The 17,121-nt window shown below is 39.0% G+C and overlaps 1 annotated feature.

The window, feature by feature from the left end:
• Positions 6,374 to 6,994: an enhancer, noted in NCBI's record as "NANOG-H3K27ac-H3K4me1 hESC enhancer chr6:100097329-100097949 (GRCh37/hg19 assembly coordinates)". NCBI's record gives its function as "activates a minimal SCP1, AML or CMV promoter by ChIP-STARR-seq in naive H9 embryonic stem cells {active_cell/tissue: H9 hESC(naive)}" and the evidence as "EXISTENCE:reporter gene assay evidence [ECO:0000049][PMID:30033119]".

The raw sequence follows: 17,121 nt of genomic DNA, 5'->3' as shown, positions 1-17,121 counted from the left end.
AGTCTAATGTTGACAGTGGGGTATTAAAGTCTCTCGTTATTATTGTGTGGGAGTCTAAGTCTCTTTGTAGGTCTCTAAGGACTTGCTTTATGAATCTGGGTGCTCCTATATTGGGTGCATATATGTTTAGGATAGTTAGCTCTTCTTGTTGAATTGATCCCTTTACCATTATGTAATGGCCTTCTTTGTCTCTTTTGATCTTTGTTGGTTTAAAGTCTGTTTTATCAGAGACTAGGATTGCAACCCCTGCCTTTTTTTTGTTTTCAATTTGCTTGGTAGATCTTCCTCCATCCCTTTATTTTGAGCCTATGTGTGTCTCTGCATGTGAGATGGGTCTCCTGAATACAGTACAGTGATGGGTCTTGGACTCTTTATCCAATTTGCCAGACTGTGTCTTTTAATTGGAGCATTTAGCACATTTACATTTAAAGTTAATATTGTTATGTGTGAATTTGATCCTGTCATTATGATGTTAGCTGGTTATTTTGCTCGTTAGTTGATGCAGTTTCTTCCTAGCATCGACGGACTTTACAATTTGGCATGTTTTTGCAGTGGCTGGTACCAGTTGTTCCTTTCCATGTTTAGTGCTTCCTTCAGGAGCTCTTGTAGGGCAGGCCTGGTGGTGACAAAATCTCTCAATGCTTGCTTGTCTGTAAAGGATTTTATTTCTCCTTCACTTATGAAGCTTAGTTTGGCTGGATATGAAATTCTGGGTTGAAAATTCTTTTCTTTAAGAATGTTGAATAATGGCCCCCACTCTCTTCTGGCTTGTAGAGTTTCTGCCGAGAGATCCACTGTCAGTCTGATGGGCTTCCCTTTGTGGGTAACCTGACCTTTCTCTCTGGCTGCCCTTAACATTTTTTCCTTCATTTCAACTTTGGTGAATCTGACAATTATGTATCTTGGAGTTGCTCTTCTCAAGGAGTATCTCTGTGATGTTCTCTGTATTTCCTGAATTTGAATGTTGGCCTGCCTTGCTAGGTTGGGAAAGTTCTCCTGGATAATACCCTGCAGAGTGTTTTCCAACTTGGTTCCATTCTCCCCGTCACTTTCAGGTACACCAATGAGACATAGATTTTGTCTTTTCACATAGATCCATATTTCTTGGAGGCTTTGTTTGTTTCTTTTTACTCTTTTTTCTCTAAACTTCTCTTCTCGCTTCATTTCATTCATTTGATCTTCAATCACTGATACCCTTTCTTCCAGTTGATCGAGTCGGCTACTGAAGCTTGTGCATTCGTCACGTAGTTCTTGTGCCATGGTTTTCAGCTCCATTAGGTCATTTAAGTTAGGAAGAATCAATATTGTGAAAATGGCCATACTGCCCAAGGTAATTTATAGATTCAATGCCATCCCTATCAAGCTACCAATGACTTTCTTCACAGAATTGGAAAAAACTACCTGAAAGTTAATAGGGAACCAAAAAAGAGCCCACATTGCCAAGTCAATCCTAAGCCAAAAGAACAAAGCTGGAGGCATCACACTGCCTGACTTCAAACTATGCTACAAGGCTACAGTAAGCAAAACAGCATGGTACTGGTACCAAAACAGATATAGACCAATGGAACAGAACAGAGCTCTCAGAAATAATACCACACATCTACAACCATCTGATCTTTGACAAACCTGACAAAAACAAGAAATGGGGAAAGGATTCCCTATTTAATAAATGGTGCTGGGAAAACTGGCTAGCCACATGTAGAAAGCTGAAACTGGATCCCTTCCTTACACCTTATACAAAAATTAATTCAAGATGGATCAAAGACTTAAATGTTAGACCTAAAACCATAAAAACCCTAGAAGAAAACCTAGGCAATATCATTCAGGACATAGCCATATCAAGGACTTCATGTCTAAAACACCAAAAGCAATGGCAACAAAAACCAAAATTGACAAATGGGATCTAATTAAACTAAAGAGCTTCTGCACAGCAGAAGAAACTACCATCAGAGTGAACAGGCAACCTACAGAATGGGAGAAAATTTGGGCAATCTATTCATCTGACAAAGCACTAATATCCAGAATCTACAATGAACTCAAACAAATTTACAAGTAAAAAACAAACAACCCCATCAAAAAGTGGGCAAAAGATATGAACAGACACTTCTCAAAAGAAGACATTTATGCAGCCAAGAGACACATGAAAAAATGCTCGTCATCACTGGCCATCAGAGAAATGCAAATCAAAACCACAATGAGATACCGTCTCACACCAGTTAGAATGGCGATCATTAAAAAGTCAGGAAACAACAGGTGCTGGAGAGGATGTGGAGAAATAGGAACACTTTTACACTGTTGGTGGGACTGTAAACTAGTTCAACCATTGTGGAAGACAGTGTGGCAATTCTGCAAGGATCTAGAACTAGAAATACCATTTGATCCAGCCATCCCATTACTGGATATATACCCAAAGGATTATAAATCATGCCACTATAAAGACACATGCACACATATGTTCATTGTGGCACTATTCACAATAGCAAAGACTGGAACCAACCCAAATGTCCATCAATGATAGACTGAATTAAGAAAATGTGGCACATATACACCATGGAATACTATGCAGCCATGAAAAAGGATGAGTTCATGTCCTTGTAAGAACATGGATGAAGCTGGAAACCATCATTCTGAGCAAACTATCACAAGGACAAAAAAATAAACACTGCATGTTCTCACTCATAGGTGGGAATTGAACAAAGAGAACACCTGGACATGGGAAGGGGAATGTCACACACTGGGGCTTGTAGTAGGGTGGGGGGTGGGGGAGGGATAGTATTAGGAGATATACCTAATATAAATGACGAGTTACTGGGTGCAGCACACCAACATGGCATACGTATACATATGTAACAAACGTGCACTACGTACCACCTAACGTACCACCTAACCACACAGTATCACAGAAATAGTAATTACCTATAAAATCTCCTGCTTCCTTTTCTCTTTTCTCTGTTTTTTTATTCCTGATGCTTCTTCCACTGGTATAGGCCATGAAACAGATTAATCTCACATCAGGCTCAAGAAAGTTGAGACAGAGTTATATAGTGAGATTTTTTAAAGGAGAAAAAGAAAAAAACACAAAGGGAAGTATTTCTATTACTGTTACAGGAAATATGAAAATAGATATAAATAAATATATTTTTTTCAGTATAGCATTAAATTCCATTGGTACATAGTGTGTGTTTTACTCTGTTGGCAATAGATATCTGACTAAAAACCAAATTGCATGCTACTTCCATGCCGTAAATCTGGAAAAGGTTTCTAAATAGGATTTTGGTATACTTGTATCATTCATCTCCCCCAAAAATGGTAGCCCTTATTTTTAACAATAAGTGCTGATATTCACTGACAGGTTTACAAATAGTGTACAACTATATTATGAGGTAGATAGTATCATTACTCCCATAGACACAATGTTATCACATGGAGTGATAGGTGAAGTGTGGCATCACCCAGCTCTTTCTGAAGGATGGGAGGATGGAGGAATCTCCAGAAGACCTACCTTGGGCCAAGACCTGGGAGATAAATTAGAACCCAACAGTTAGACATGGGCTTGATGAAGGGCACCTAGTCAGAGGGACAAAATGTGCAAATGCAGAGAGGTATGGGTAGTTATGCACGGCAGTAAGAAGTTACATATGTCGGGGGCAGGAAGAGCACTGGGGATAGTGGCTAGAAATAAAGTTGAAAAAATTCACAAAAAGCTTGGTCTACCAGGCTGAGAAGACTCAGATTTACACTTTAGGCACTGAAGAGCCACTGGGGAATTCTGCAAATAGATGATGAGATTTGCATTTTAGAAAGATCTCTCTGATGGTAGTTTAAGGATAGATTTCAGTGAAACCAGAATGAAAATAAAATAAGCAATTGATAGATTAATTTTTTAATTTATTTTTTATTTTCTATATACAAAGCGTATAACATAATGTTTTGATACTCATATACATAGTGAAATAAGCACTAAAGTCAAATTAACGTATCCATCACCTTCTGTATTAGTTCGCTCTTATATTGCTATAAAGGCGTACCTGAGACTAGGTAATTATAAAGAAAATATTTAATTGGCTCATGGTTCTGCAGGCTCTACAGGAAGCATAACACAGGCATCAGCTTCTGGGGATGCCTCAGGAAGCTTCCAATGATGGTGGAAGGTGAAGGGGGAGCAGGTGTCTCACATGGCAGAAGGAAAAGCAAGAAAGAGAGAGGGGGAAGGTGCCACACATTTTTAAATGACCAGATATCACAAGAACTCACTCACTATCATGAGGACAGTACCAAGGGGACAGTACTAAACAATTCACAAGAAATCTGCCCCTATGATCCAATCAACTCCCACCAGGCCCCACCTTCAACAGTGAGGATTACATTTCAACATGAGATTTGGGCAGGGACACACATTGAAACTATATCGCCTTCCACAGTTATCCTTTTTGTGTGTGTATAGTAAGAGTACCTGACATCTACTCTTTCAGTAAATTTTAGTATACAACACAAGATTATGAATTATAATCCTCATGCTATACATTATATCTCTAGACTTAATAATGGTCAGTCCAGGATAGAAATTATGAGACCTTGACTAAAGTAATGTCTGGGCAGACAGAGAAAAGAGATATTTGGAAGATAGAAGTTAGAAAAATTCTATATAATTTTTCCAGTTATATAAATTTCTTCAGTAGATAGAAGGAATTACTTTCATTTGTTTCTGTTAACTTCTGTGTCCCACTCAGCAAATATAATGTTTGGAAAAAACAGGATATAAACATTTGACTTAACTGAATTTAACTTTCCTAATATTCTTTTCTAACACATGCTTGTCCATAGAAATCATTATCCATGGAAAACTACTGTTCTAATCTGTCAGTAAATATTAGTTATGTGTTTTAATTTTCACATATAAAGATTCACAAAGAAAAAAACATGGCCCTTTCTCAAGAGGAAAGAAAAAAATTCTAGGTCAATAGTAAACCTATGAGGGTTCTAGAAGAAGGAGGAGGGGCTGGCATAGAGTAGACACCACCAACAGAAAGTGCTAGATGAATGTAAATTGAAAGATTAAGAGGTCAATATTTAGGGTGCTAAAATTACCTACACAGAGAAACTCTTAGTTTTAGGACCTGCTGAAAGAGAAATATTTAGTGTTTGGTACTTCATTTCTATATCAGAGCAACAAAGGGATCAAAACCAAAGAGAGCGTCTGGTCTTCTTCGAGGCATTAAGTTGACTTTGAGAGGTTTTTTTTCTTGCATTTTTGCTGTAAGGTTGACTCTTATTTTCTATACCTAAGTATAGATTACTAGTCTATGAATATGTATATTGTTTAACACAGAAGTACACAGAAGTTACTTTCACGTAAGAAGCTTAATTGGCTCCCCCTCCCCCTCCCCCTCCCCCTCTCCCCACGGTCTCCCTCTCCCTCTCTTTCCACGGTCTCCCTCTGATGCCCAGCCGAAGCTGGACTGTACTGCTGCCATCTCGGCTCACTGCAACCTCCCTGCCTGATTCTCCTGCCTCAGCCTGCCGAGTGCCTGTGATTGCAGGCACGTGCCGCCACGCCTGACTGGTTTTCGTATTTTTTTTGGTGGAGACAGGGTTTCACTGTGTTGGCCGGGCTGGTCTCCAGCACCTAACCGTGAGTGATCCGCCAGCCTCGGCCTCCCGAGGTGCCAGGATTGCAGACGGAGTCTCGTCCACTCAGTGCTCAATGGTGCCCAGACTGGAGTGCAGTGGCGTGATCTCGGCTCGCTACAACCTCCACCTCCCAGCCGCCTGCCTTGGCCTCCCAAAGTGCTGAGATTGCAGCCTCTGCCCGGCCGCCACCCCGTCTGGGAAGTGAGGAGCCTCTCTGCCTGGCCGCCCATCGTCTGGGATGTGAGGAGCCCCTCTGCCCGGCCGCCCAGTCTGGGAAGTGAGGAGTGCCTCTTCCCGGCCGCCATCCCATCTAGGAAGTGAGGAGTGTCTCTGCCCGGCCGCCCATCGTCTGAGATGTGGGGAGAGCCTCTGCCCCGCTGCCCCGTCTGGGATGTGAGGAGCGTCTCTGCCCGGCCACCCCATCTGAGAAGTGAGGAGCCCCTCTGCCCGGCGGCCGCCCCGTCTGAGAAGTGAGGAGCCCCTCCGCCCGGCAGCCACCCCGTCTGGGAAGTGAGGAGCGTCTCCGCCCGGCAGCCGCCCCGTCCGGGAGGGAGGTGGGGGTCAGCCCCCGCCCGGCCAGCCGCCCCGTCCGGGAGGGAGGTGGGGGGTCAGCCCCCGCCCGGCCAGCCGCCCCGTCCGGGAGGGAGGTTGGGGGAGCCTCCGCCCGGCCAGCCGCCCCGTCCGGGAGGTGGGGGGCGCCTCTGCCCGGCCGCCCCTTCTGGGAAGTGAGGAGCCCCTCTGCCCGGCCACCACCCCGTCTGGGAGGTGTACCCAACAGCTCATTGAGACCGGGCCATGATGACAATGGCCGTTTAGTGGAATAGAAAAGGGGGAAAGGTGGGGAAAAGATTGAGAAATCGGATGGTTGCTGTGTCTGTGTAGAAAGAAGTAGACATGGGAGACTTTTCATTTTGTTCTGTACTAAGAAAAATTCTTCTGCCTTGGGATCCTGTTGATCTATGACCTTACCCCCAACCCTGTGCTCTCTGAAACATGTGCTGTGTCCACTCAGGGTTAAATGGATTAAGGGCAGTGCAAGATGTGCTTTGTTAAACAGATGCTTGAAGGCAGCATGCTCGTTAAGAGTCATCACCACTCCCTAATCTCAAGTACCCAGGGACACAAACACTGCGGAAGGCCGCAGGGTCCTCTGCCTAGGAAAACCAGAGACCTTTGTTCACTTGTTTATCTGCTGACCTTCCCTCCACTATTGTCCTATGACCCTGCCAAATCCCCCTCTGCGAGAAACACCCAAGAATGATCAATTAAAAAAAAAAAAATTAAAGTAGAAAAAATAAATAAATAAAAAAAGAAGCTTAATTGTTATTTATTCTTAATTGCTATTGTATTTACACAGGACTAACTTTCTTCTCTGCCTATAAAACTTAATAATGGCCAGGCGCAGTGGCTCACACCTGTAATCCCAGCACTTTGGAAGGCCAGGGCAGGCTGATCACCTGCGGTTGGGAGTTCTAGACCAGCCTGATCAACATGGAGAAACCCCATCTCTACTAAAAATACAAAATTAGCCAGGTGTGGTGGCACATGCCTGTAATCCCAGCTACTCGAGAGGCTGAGCCAGGAGAATTGCTTGAATCCGAGAGGTGGAGGTTGCGGTGAGCAGAGATCACGCCATTGCACTCCAGCCTGGGCAAGGGAAACTATGATTCCCATTCTACATGGGAAACTATGATACTTATCAGAAAACATGATCAAAACTGGGTAGGAGAGAGGTTCACCTAGTAGGCAATATTGGCATTCAAGGGTTATGCCTGGGACACCAAGTTCCTTGTGAGATCAGCTGAAGTTGACTCTGAAAGAAAGAATGAAGATAGCAAAACAGTCACCGAATCCAAAATCCAGGAAAGTAACCTAGTTCTAAGCTGCAGAAGATTCTGGGACCAATGTTGACACACATCCCTTGTCTCTCAAAGAACAGGCTCCAGTGCTTAAGATTCAGCATAAAACTGAGGCATCATTTGTTCTAGCTCTGAAAATATCAAAAGACAGAGGCAAGAAAAATGAGGTAGAGGCTGACATTTTGAAATTGTTATATATTTTTTCGAAAGAAATAGTAAGGGGAAGTTGCTATAATTCAGAAAAAAATGGCAGCCCTGTTCTTTTCTTTCTAAGCCATTTCTATTCTTCTCTCTCTATTGCTCCTATTCTGCTCTTAGAAGACAATGAAAAAGAAAACTAAAACATGACTTTCCCCAGAATTATTCATACAAAGGAACAGACCATCTGAAAAGCAGCCTGGCATATACTATTCTAGCAGAAAACCCTATTCTGTGGAATCACTGGCATATCATGCTTACCATGTGGAGCTACTTGGTTCCACTGTCTTTCATTTAATTTAGCAGTGTTTTATTACCTTCTTACTACAACCTCAGCACTGTAAAAGACACACAGAAGAACCAACACAAATGTATGACTCCAAAAACTTAGTCTAGTTGAAGAGGCAAGAAAATAAGAAAGGCAACATATAACCAAGTGCTAAATGGTCTTAATGTCACTAATTATGAAGAGATAAAGGACTCCTGAATAAGAAGTAAACATAGAAACAGATAAATTGCAATAGAAATCCATTTGTCTTCTGCTGGTGCATTTATGAAAACATGGACACATTCCCTGTGATTATAACCCCCTATGAATATAACCCAGATGACAAATGTGAGAGAAATAAGAAAAGGAGGCAAACATTTTAGGGTAGAGCAATAGGAAAGGACTTCATGAAAGGTAGTGTTGGAGCTAAACCTTGAAGGAAAAGCAGAAGACATTCCAGGAGTGGGAGACTGAAAAAGCATGGCATGTGCAAGGTACAGAAAAGATGCCAGTAGTGGTTTCTTTTGGGGGATTACAGAGACGATAATGAGTATTCAGAAATGCACATGGAAGAATGGGGAATTGGGGATGGAGAGGCTGCAAAATTGTAGGTTCTTAAGGGTAAATTTGCAGAATCATTAAATCAGAGAAACTCAGAATTACAAAGGACCTCAGAAATCGTCAAAACCAATTTTCAACTCAATGCAATAATATCTGTATGTGGTCATACGGCCTCTACCAAAAAATTCCCAGTGAGAGAAAGAAAATTCACCATTTTTGAGAGAGACTTCTAAATGTTAGAAATGTCTTCTTTATAGAGTTATCATTGTTCTCTTCTTGACCTATGGAGATATAAATATGTTAAAATATGTCACCCCATTTTCACATGCCAGGCTGTGTCAAGAATAAATTGGTATTTAGGGCATGCTATCCAAAACATACTAGAAAGAATGGACTGTCAGCTTCAAGGTGATCCTAGCTTAAACTCTAGATCCATCTCAGTCTAAGACTACTAGAAATTGTGTCTATTCAAACAAACTCTACTTTGATTAGATAAATTAATGTCTGAGCCGCACCAAGTTGCTCTGAGAAGACTGGGTTTGGTGTCAAGACTACAACATCAGGATTTTCTAAAAATGGAGTCTAACCTCAAGATATGAAAGAAGCAAGCAGGCTTTGGCTAAAATACATGTGATTATAACATTCATGGACCATGTAATTTCTCCCTGCTGGTAAAAGAATGTGGTTCTGTTAGAGAATTTGTCAGTAATTCAGAAACATGTCAGAGTTTAGCATATTGCTTCTATTACACTCATGCAACAGTAAAAAATAAGTTTCTGCTGTAATTATGAGGACAAGGGTTTTTAATCTCTATTTTTATTCCTTATCTATTATCCATAGGAGTCCCCACAGCAGGACATGGAAAATTCATCCCCTTAGCAATTTATTCCAATTTTCCTACTCAATCAATTATTCCCCCAAATCATATAAATAATTGACTGCTGGGAGTGGGAATCAAATATACCACAGGGCTCCCTTCATAATCATATGAGGTAGAGTTTCTCAGCCTCAGCACTATTGCCATCTGTGAGTCAGATAATTCTTTATTGTGGAGGACTGTCCTGTGCATTGTAGGATGTTAAGCAGCATCCCTGACCTCTACTTACTAGATGCCAGCTATCCCTCCCCTCATCAGTCATGAAAACCACAAATGTCACCAGACATTGCCAAACATCTCCTGGGAATAAAAATTGTCCCAGGTTGAGAACTCCTGATATAAAGATACAGTCTTAGTTAAAACCTACTCTGGGCTATACTTTTCAGGCACATTTTTAAAGTGGTAGTGACTGCCCTTTCTGGCTTACATCCACATAAAATCTGTTGTTTATTCCAATCTCTTCAGAGAAAAGTGTGAACACCCTATTTCTTGACAAATGACTTTGATTATTAGATTGTACCACAATGCGCATCAAAGTACAAGGACAGAGCTTTAACTCTGCTGTCAAGACAACCACTGCCTCTTCAAGCAAAAGAAAAATCAAAGATTTGTAGGATGCCAGTTGAGTAGGAATCTTAAGCCAAAGGCAAGTGCTGTGGCCATGACTGAGCACCTGGCACTTCCCCATGAGAGCTGAATACTCAAGAAAATTGAGACTTCAAATGAGCTTCCACCTAACAAGCTGTAATTTTGTTTCATTGGTGGCGGGTAGAGGACGAGTTGGGGGAAGAAACCAGAGGAGAATTCAACATGACAGTCCATTTGCTAATTCAACGAGGGGGAGTTCAAGACAATCTTCAGAATGCCGCAAGACAAAAGCATCATTATCTGTAATTACTGCTTACCAGTAGCACAGACTGATAACAAGCTTCCTCCGCCAATCTTACCCTGCCATTATGAGAAGGGGCGATTAAACTAATTAACAAATCAACTTTTCTGTGCAACATTGGGCTCAATAAGCAGAAAATAATGAGAAAAAGCTAGTTACTTGAAGGGATGAAATGAGACAGAAATCTGAGGTTAACAATAATATGGACAGGGAGCTCGAATAATTGAGAAAGGTGTACATTTTAACATTAGAAAATCTGATTCCACATGGGGAAATATGGAGCTATTTGATCAAAGCCACAGTTTAAATGCAAAGTGCTTTATTTGATCATGAAAAGCATTACAACAATCATGCACAACCCTAATATGTGACAAATACAAAATAATGCCTCACCTATGGAGAAGTCAGACTGTCAGCAACCTCAGTGATCTCAGTTATAGACACTAACTCAAAATGAATCACAAAAAGAGGTCTTTTAGACATAAAGTCACATTAGTCTATAGGAAGAGACAAATAACTACTCTCACACCATTGCTATATTTTGTACCTCTCTCAACTCCTCCATTCTTGAAGAGGGGAGGGGCAGTATGTCTTTAACTTATCTCTACCTAAGGCCTTTTTATACATCATAGGTATTCAGTAAGAAGTATTTACCAGTGTGACAGCCATACCACATGTGGCTACTGAGCACTTGAAATGTGGCCAGTGAGACTAAGGATCTGAATTTTTATTTTGTTTTATTTTAATTTAATTTTAATTTAAAAACTGCTTGCTATTGTTTGGCTGTTCCCACCCAAATCTCATCATGAATTGTAGCTCCCATAATCCCCATGTGTCATGGGAGGGACTTTATGGGAGGTAATTGAATCATGGGGGCGGTTTTTTCCCATGCTATTCTGGTGATAATGAATAAATCTTACAAGATCTGATGGTTTTATAATGGGTAGTTTCCCTGCACACGTTCTCTTTCCTGCCACCACATAAAACGTGCCTTTGCTCCACCTTCACCTTCCACCATGATTGTGATTGTGAGGCCTCCCCAGCTTTGTGGAACTGGGAGTCCATTAAACCTCATGTTCTTTATAAATTACCCAGTGTTGGGTATTTTTTCATAGCAGTATAAAAATGGACTAATACACTGCTATTCAATTCACTTGTTGAGAAACTTTTAAATAGTCTCAAAACAATTTGGGTACATGAATCCACTTTTTCAACTGTAAATTTTATGAAATCTAAATAAATAGCACATATCTATCAAAAATTTAGCATTCCAATTGAGTTGTGTTGCAAAAGTTAAATACACACCAGATTTCAAAGACTTGGAATTTAAAAAATAATATAAAATACATCATTAATATTTGTATATTGATTACCTGTTGAAATGATAGCATTTTGGATACATTGTGTTATATAAAATATATTATTAAAGATAATTTCACCTATTTCTCTTTACTTTGTTTAATGTGACTACTGGAAATTATAAATTACATATTTGGCTATTAGATGGTGTTGGTCTATAGAGTGAATGAATGCAACATACAGCAGTATATCAGAAGCAGGAAGAGAATACCGACTAACAGCAACAAAAAATGACATCTACAACTGAAGAGAGTCGAATAAAATCAAGAAACCACAATGACCTAGAGTCATTTAAAGCATGAGTATATATTTTCACCTATTTCATAGGTGTCTGAGGGTATCACTGTTATTTATGTATTATAACTCTTTTTGTATAAATTTATCATGCACAACATGTTCTTTTGAAATATGCATACACTATAGAATGGCTAAATTGAGCTAATTAACATATACATTACCTCACATATCAATTTTTATGGTGAGAACATTTAAAAATCTACCCTTAGCAATTCTCAAGAATACAATACACTGTTATATACTATAATCACATACTGTACAATAGATCTCTTGATTCCTCCTAACTGAAATTGTGTATCCTTTGACCAACATTTCTGCAATCCCTCCTCCACACAGCCCCTGGTAACCATCATTCTATGAATTCAACTTTTTAAATTCCACATATAAGTGAGAGCCCCTAGTATTTGTGTTTCTGCACCTGGCTTATTTCACTTAATGTAATATCCTCCAGGCTCATCCATGTTGTCACAAATGACAGGATTTTCTTCTTGTTAAGGCTGAATCATATTTCGTTAAGTATTTATACCACATTTTCTTTACCCATTTATCCATTGTTGGAAGCTTAGGTTGCTTCCAAATCTTGGCTATTGTAAATAGTTCTGCAATAAGCATGGAACTGAAGATATCTCTTCAACATACTGATTTCATTTCCTTTGACTATATACTCAGTAGTGGGATTTCTAGATCAAATGATAATTCTATTTTTAATTTTTTTAGGAACCTCTGTACTGTTTTCCATAATGGCTATACTAATTTGCAGTCCCACCAACAGTGTGTAGGGGTTTCCTTTCTCCACATCTTCTCCAATATTTATCTTTTGTCTTTTTTTTTTTTTTTTTTTTGAGAGAGAGTCTCATTCTGTTACCCAGGCTAGAGTGCAGTGGCATGATCTTGATTCACCGCAACCTCCACCTCCCAGGTTCCAGTGATTCTCCTGTCTCAGCCTCCCAAGCAACTGGGTCACAGGCATGTACCACCACACCTGACTAATTTTTGTATTTTTAGTAGAGACAGGGTTTCACAATGTTGGCCAGGCTGGTCTCAAACTCCTGACCTCAAGTAATCTGCCTGCCTCAGCCTCCCAAAGTGCTGGGATTACAGGCATGAGCCACCATGCCTGGCCTATCTTTTGTCTTTTTGATAAGTCATTCTAAACAGTGTAAAGTAATATCTTACACTGTGATTTTAATTTGCATTTCTCTGATGATTACTAATTTTTTATACATCTGTTGGCCATTTGCATGTCTTCTTTGGAGAAGATATACATATGTATTGTAACTCAGCCACAAAGAAAGGTATGATGGTGGAACTTGTCATTATTTTAACATTTAACAATAAGTTCCACTTACCTAAATATTTCACTAATATATAACAACTCATTTAATTATCACAATAATCTTACGAGACAAATATTACTATTACCTTTCCAATTTTGTAGGTAAGGAAATTGGAGCATAAGGAGGTTAAGTAATTTTGTCAACGTTACATATATTTACTATGATTTTCTATTATTCCTGTCAAAATTCTTTTCCAACATTCCCCTATACATGTGTTTGATCAAAATGCTTCTTTCCTCTATCTTTAAATATTGTCCTTTTCAATGGCGCCCTTAGCCTGGAATGATTTAGCCAAATCAACCCTAGGAATGAAAGTTCTGCCAGATGTCACAGGCAAACCTCCATTATATTCTCTAACATTAGTAAAAGTCCTGCTGATGTGGGGTCTATCAGGAGACTAGTTTATAAAGTCTCTCCTCTAATTTCTGGTTAAGAGTTGCTACAATTTCTAAAAGCCTCTGGTTCTTCTACATGGCAAATAACATTCTAGCAAGAACTTAAAAATACTACATGAAACCATAAACTGGTAATATTTGTATTGCATTACCTCTGATGATATAACAAAATAAAAAATAAATATTGTGGTTTTTAAGGAAGTAGAAATTATCTTTAATCTCTGTGGCTTCAGTTAATATATAACAGTTTCACCAATAAAAGTTCAGTAAGAAAGATTAAGATATGATAGGACACCTAAAAAGATGAAAGGCTGATTGAGAAGAGTGGAAGAGGGTAAGAATTAAGAAGGTTAAATAATTAAGCAAATGGTCTGAATGAAAAGAAGCAAGGTATCAGAAGGCAAAATGATAGAGAAACAAAAAAATGCAGCTGGTTCGAAGACAGTGTTATCTCAACTAATTGTTCACAGTCAGTTACAGATCAAACTCCTTGTTCTACTCTTTCCCCCTTTCTCACTACTGCACTTGACTAGTCTAGAAAAAAAAAAATTAAACCCACCTGAAACACAAGGGAAGAGAAACTGAGCAGCTTAATGAGGAATTTATTTAAAGCAGTAATAGCAGCACACATTTAAGAAAACTGAGCACTTTTTAAGTGTGAGCATTAACTAATGTAATTTAATAACACGGAAGGCCAATGTGCTTTGTAGTAAGCTGGTTAGTGTTTCTATTTTCTATTCATTGCCTTGTTTTTCCCGCTTTGGTTATTTGTTTTCTCTTTCTAAACAAAAATTAATACACTAAGAGTCCAGGTATAAAAATTTAAGACATGAAAAATTAAGCATATGGCATCAAGATTCTTTCATTTTTATAAAAGGAAAATTAGAGCATCACTCTTATTCAACAATTATCTGTTTTTAACCTATTTGATAATATGAAGATATGGGGAAAATAGCTATTAGAAAGGTTGTAGACTAAAGAATAACCAGGATTCTGTAGATGGTGAGCACTGTTCTGACTTTTTCTGTGAGTACCTTGGAGAACATCATCCTGGGTACATTTAATTTTCTTCTAGTGGCTTCAGGATTACTTCTGGGAAACAAGCCCTTGTCAAGAAAGAGAAATAAATCAAGTTTTTCTTTAATCTCATTAAGTCCCCACAGTGCAGGCTGACTTTACCAGAAGCTCTTTAGTGATTTTTATTTGTTGCATTTTTCCAAACAGAAGACACAAAGGAAAGGAGCACTGGTGGCCTGTCAGTTCTCAACACTCTGCCAAAAGACCTGGCTGTCATCACGAGGATTTATCAGCTTGCCTTACAGGACACCTAAACCTGTCATGTGGCTCAGGGTTCCTGACCAAAGTCACTAAAGAAGCTATTACCTGAGAGCCCAGCAAATACTGTGGCCTGGAGCAATATTTGGTATGACTGACAGCATGTGCTGTTACCAGATCTTTTGCTATAAAACGCTGGAATCAGGAAGGATTACTCTAGAGAAAATTTAATGTAAAGAAATTTAAGCCTTTGACCAAAGTTGTCTTATCTTGAAACAGTATCTTTCTCAAGATTCTTTTTTTTAATATATCCTTTCATAAATCCCTTATGGCTTAATCCCTTGTGAAACAGCATGTATCTTTAATATTACATTATTTTTCAAAATTTGTTGTGTTTAAATCCTAAGAACAAGTTAGTAAACAGTCATGATAGAAACTGCAATTCCAAACCACCTTAACAAAAAGATCCACATATAGAGATGTGATTGAATTTGGTTTATTTTTTAGTGCTTATAAATATTCTACCCTTTTCATCTTTGTTTCTTTTAGATAAGCATTTGGACCTTCAAATAGAATATACTTTTTTTGCATTCATTTGAACATCTTTTCTGACTTAGAACTTGTCTCAAGGGAAAACCTTGAAAGAAAATTAAAACTTCTTTTTTAAAGCCCATAGCAATTCATTAATATTTTCAAGCTTTTCAATACAGTTGCATTCACAAATTGGATTTGCACTGTTTGATATAAAACAATTGTTTTTCACTTCAAGTGCTCCACTGTTTTCAAGCTTGTTAATTAAATGTTTTATTTTTAAAAATACTGTACAATTTTCTCAAAACTTCATCTGCACCTGCTCTGTAAATGAAAAGATGTCCTTGGAACAACTCCAGTTTATTAAGTGGAAAGCCATTTATTTCACACAAGAATTCAGTCTTTTACCTGCAAGCTTTAACATGAGTTACTGTGCATTGTATTATTTCACCTTTTATCTGCTTTCAATTAATAGAAGCATTTTTAATGTGTGGAGAGGAAAAAGACATGTTGTTTGGAATGTCACTTCCATTGCCTGATGCTCCTATGTGTGTGCTGAACTGACATCCCTGTAAAGTTATTTGGTGGCTTTATCTTTTAGCCTGGCCCTTTTGGTCTTGCCCCATCATCCTTTTTCCCAAAGAGATTATGTAGTGTGATCTGATGAGATATGCAGATGGCGTGGAGCAGTAAAACTGCTACAACCTCTCAGGGATTTTTCACAGCACAGCTAAATTAGTAAACTGCTTTCTAACACAGAAAAGAAATTAGGGACACATGGGATCTGATACAGTTTGGATATTTGTCCCTACCCCAATCTCATGATGACTTGTAATCCAAAATGCTGGAGTGGGTCCTGGTGGGAGGTGTTTGGGTCGTGGGGGCAGATTCTATCTCAAAGACAAAATGCATCTCAAAAATGCATCTTTTCCACTAAGTGGGGAGAGCGTCTTAAAATTAAAGGGAAAAAAACTGCATGCAGCCCCCTGAGCTACAATTGGTAATCTAGTACTCAGGGTAGTACTCTTGGTACAAGATGGATGGGCACCTATAACAACAACACTGCCCAGAAAGAGACAACTTTTGAGGCACCTGTTTATACTGCTCCCACCTGCATTCTCCTTTTAGCTAGAACTTACATGAGCTGCCTGTGGGACTCTCTCCCTCCCTCTTGTTAAGAGTAAGAACAGAGCATACATTTTGTAAATTAGTGACTGTTCCACTTTTCAAGGCTAGAAGGAAGTGAGGAGCCAAGGTAGTGCATCCTATGGCCTTAATTCCACTATATTGCCTGTAGACTCCTACCCAAGACATCATGAAGGATATAGATATATGGAAGAAATTTTTAAAAAGTCCATCTAAAGAAGTTATTTTATCCTCTTTAATAAAGGCAGTATTTTGGCATGAGCAAATAGTACTTATTTGCATAAATAATAAAGTATATTTACTTCTCTATCTGTCACACAGCCCATTTGGATGACTTCCATGATGTAAAATAAGGCATGTTATGGTATTAATATCATTAGTCCTGATGATTCATTATTCGGCTGGAAATAGACAATAATAATCCTCAAAAATTAATACTGCTCTGTGATTGGTTTTAATGTAGCTCTTAAAATAATTTTATTTAATAATAATTTAATA

The sequence above is a fragment of the Homo sapiens genome, chromosome 6 (assembly GCF_000001405.40).
Source record: "Homo sapiens chromosome 6, GRCh38.p14 Primary Assembly".
In the NCBI taxonomy this organism is placed as follows: Eukaryota; Metazoa; Chordata; class Mammalia; order Primates; family Hominidae; genus Homo; species Homo sapiens.
This window is presented reverse-complemented; position numbering and strand designations above follow the sequence as displayed.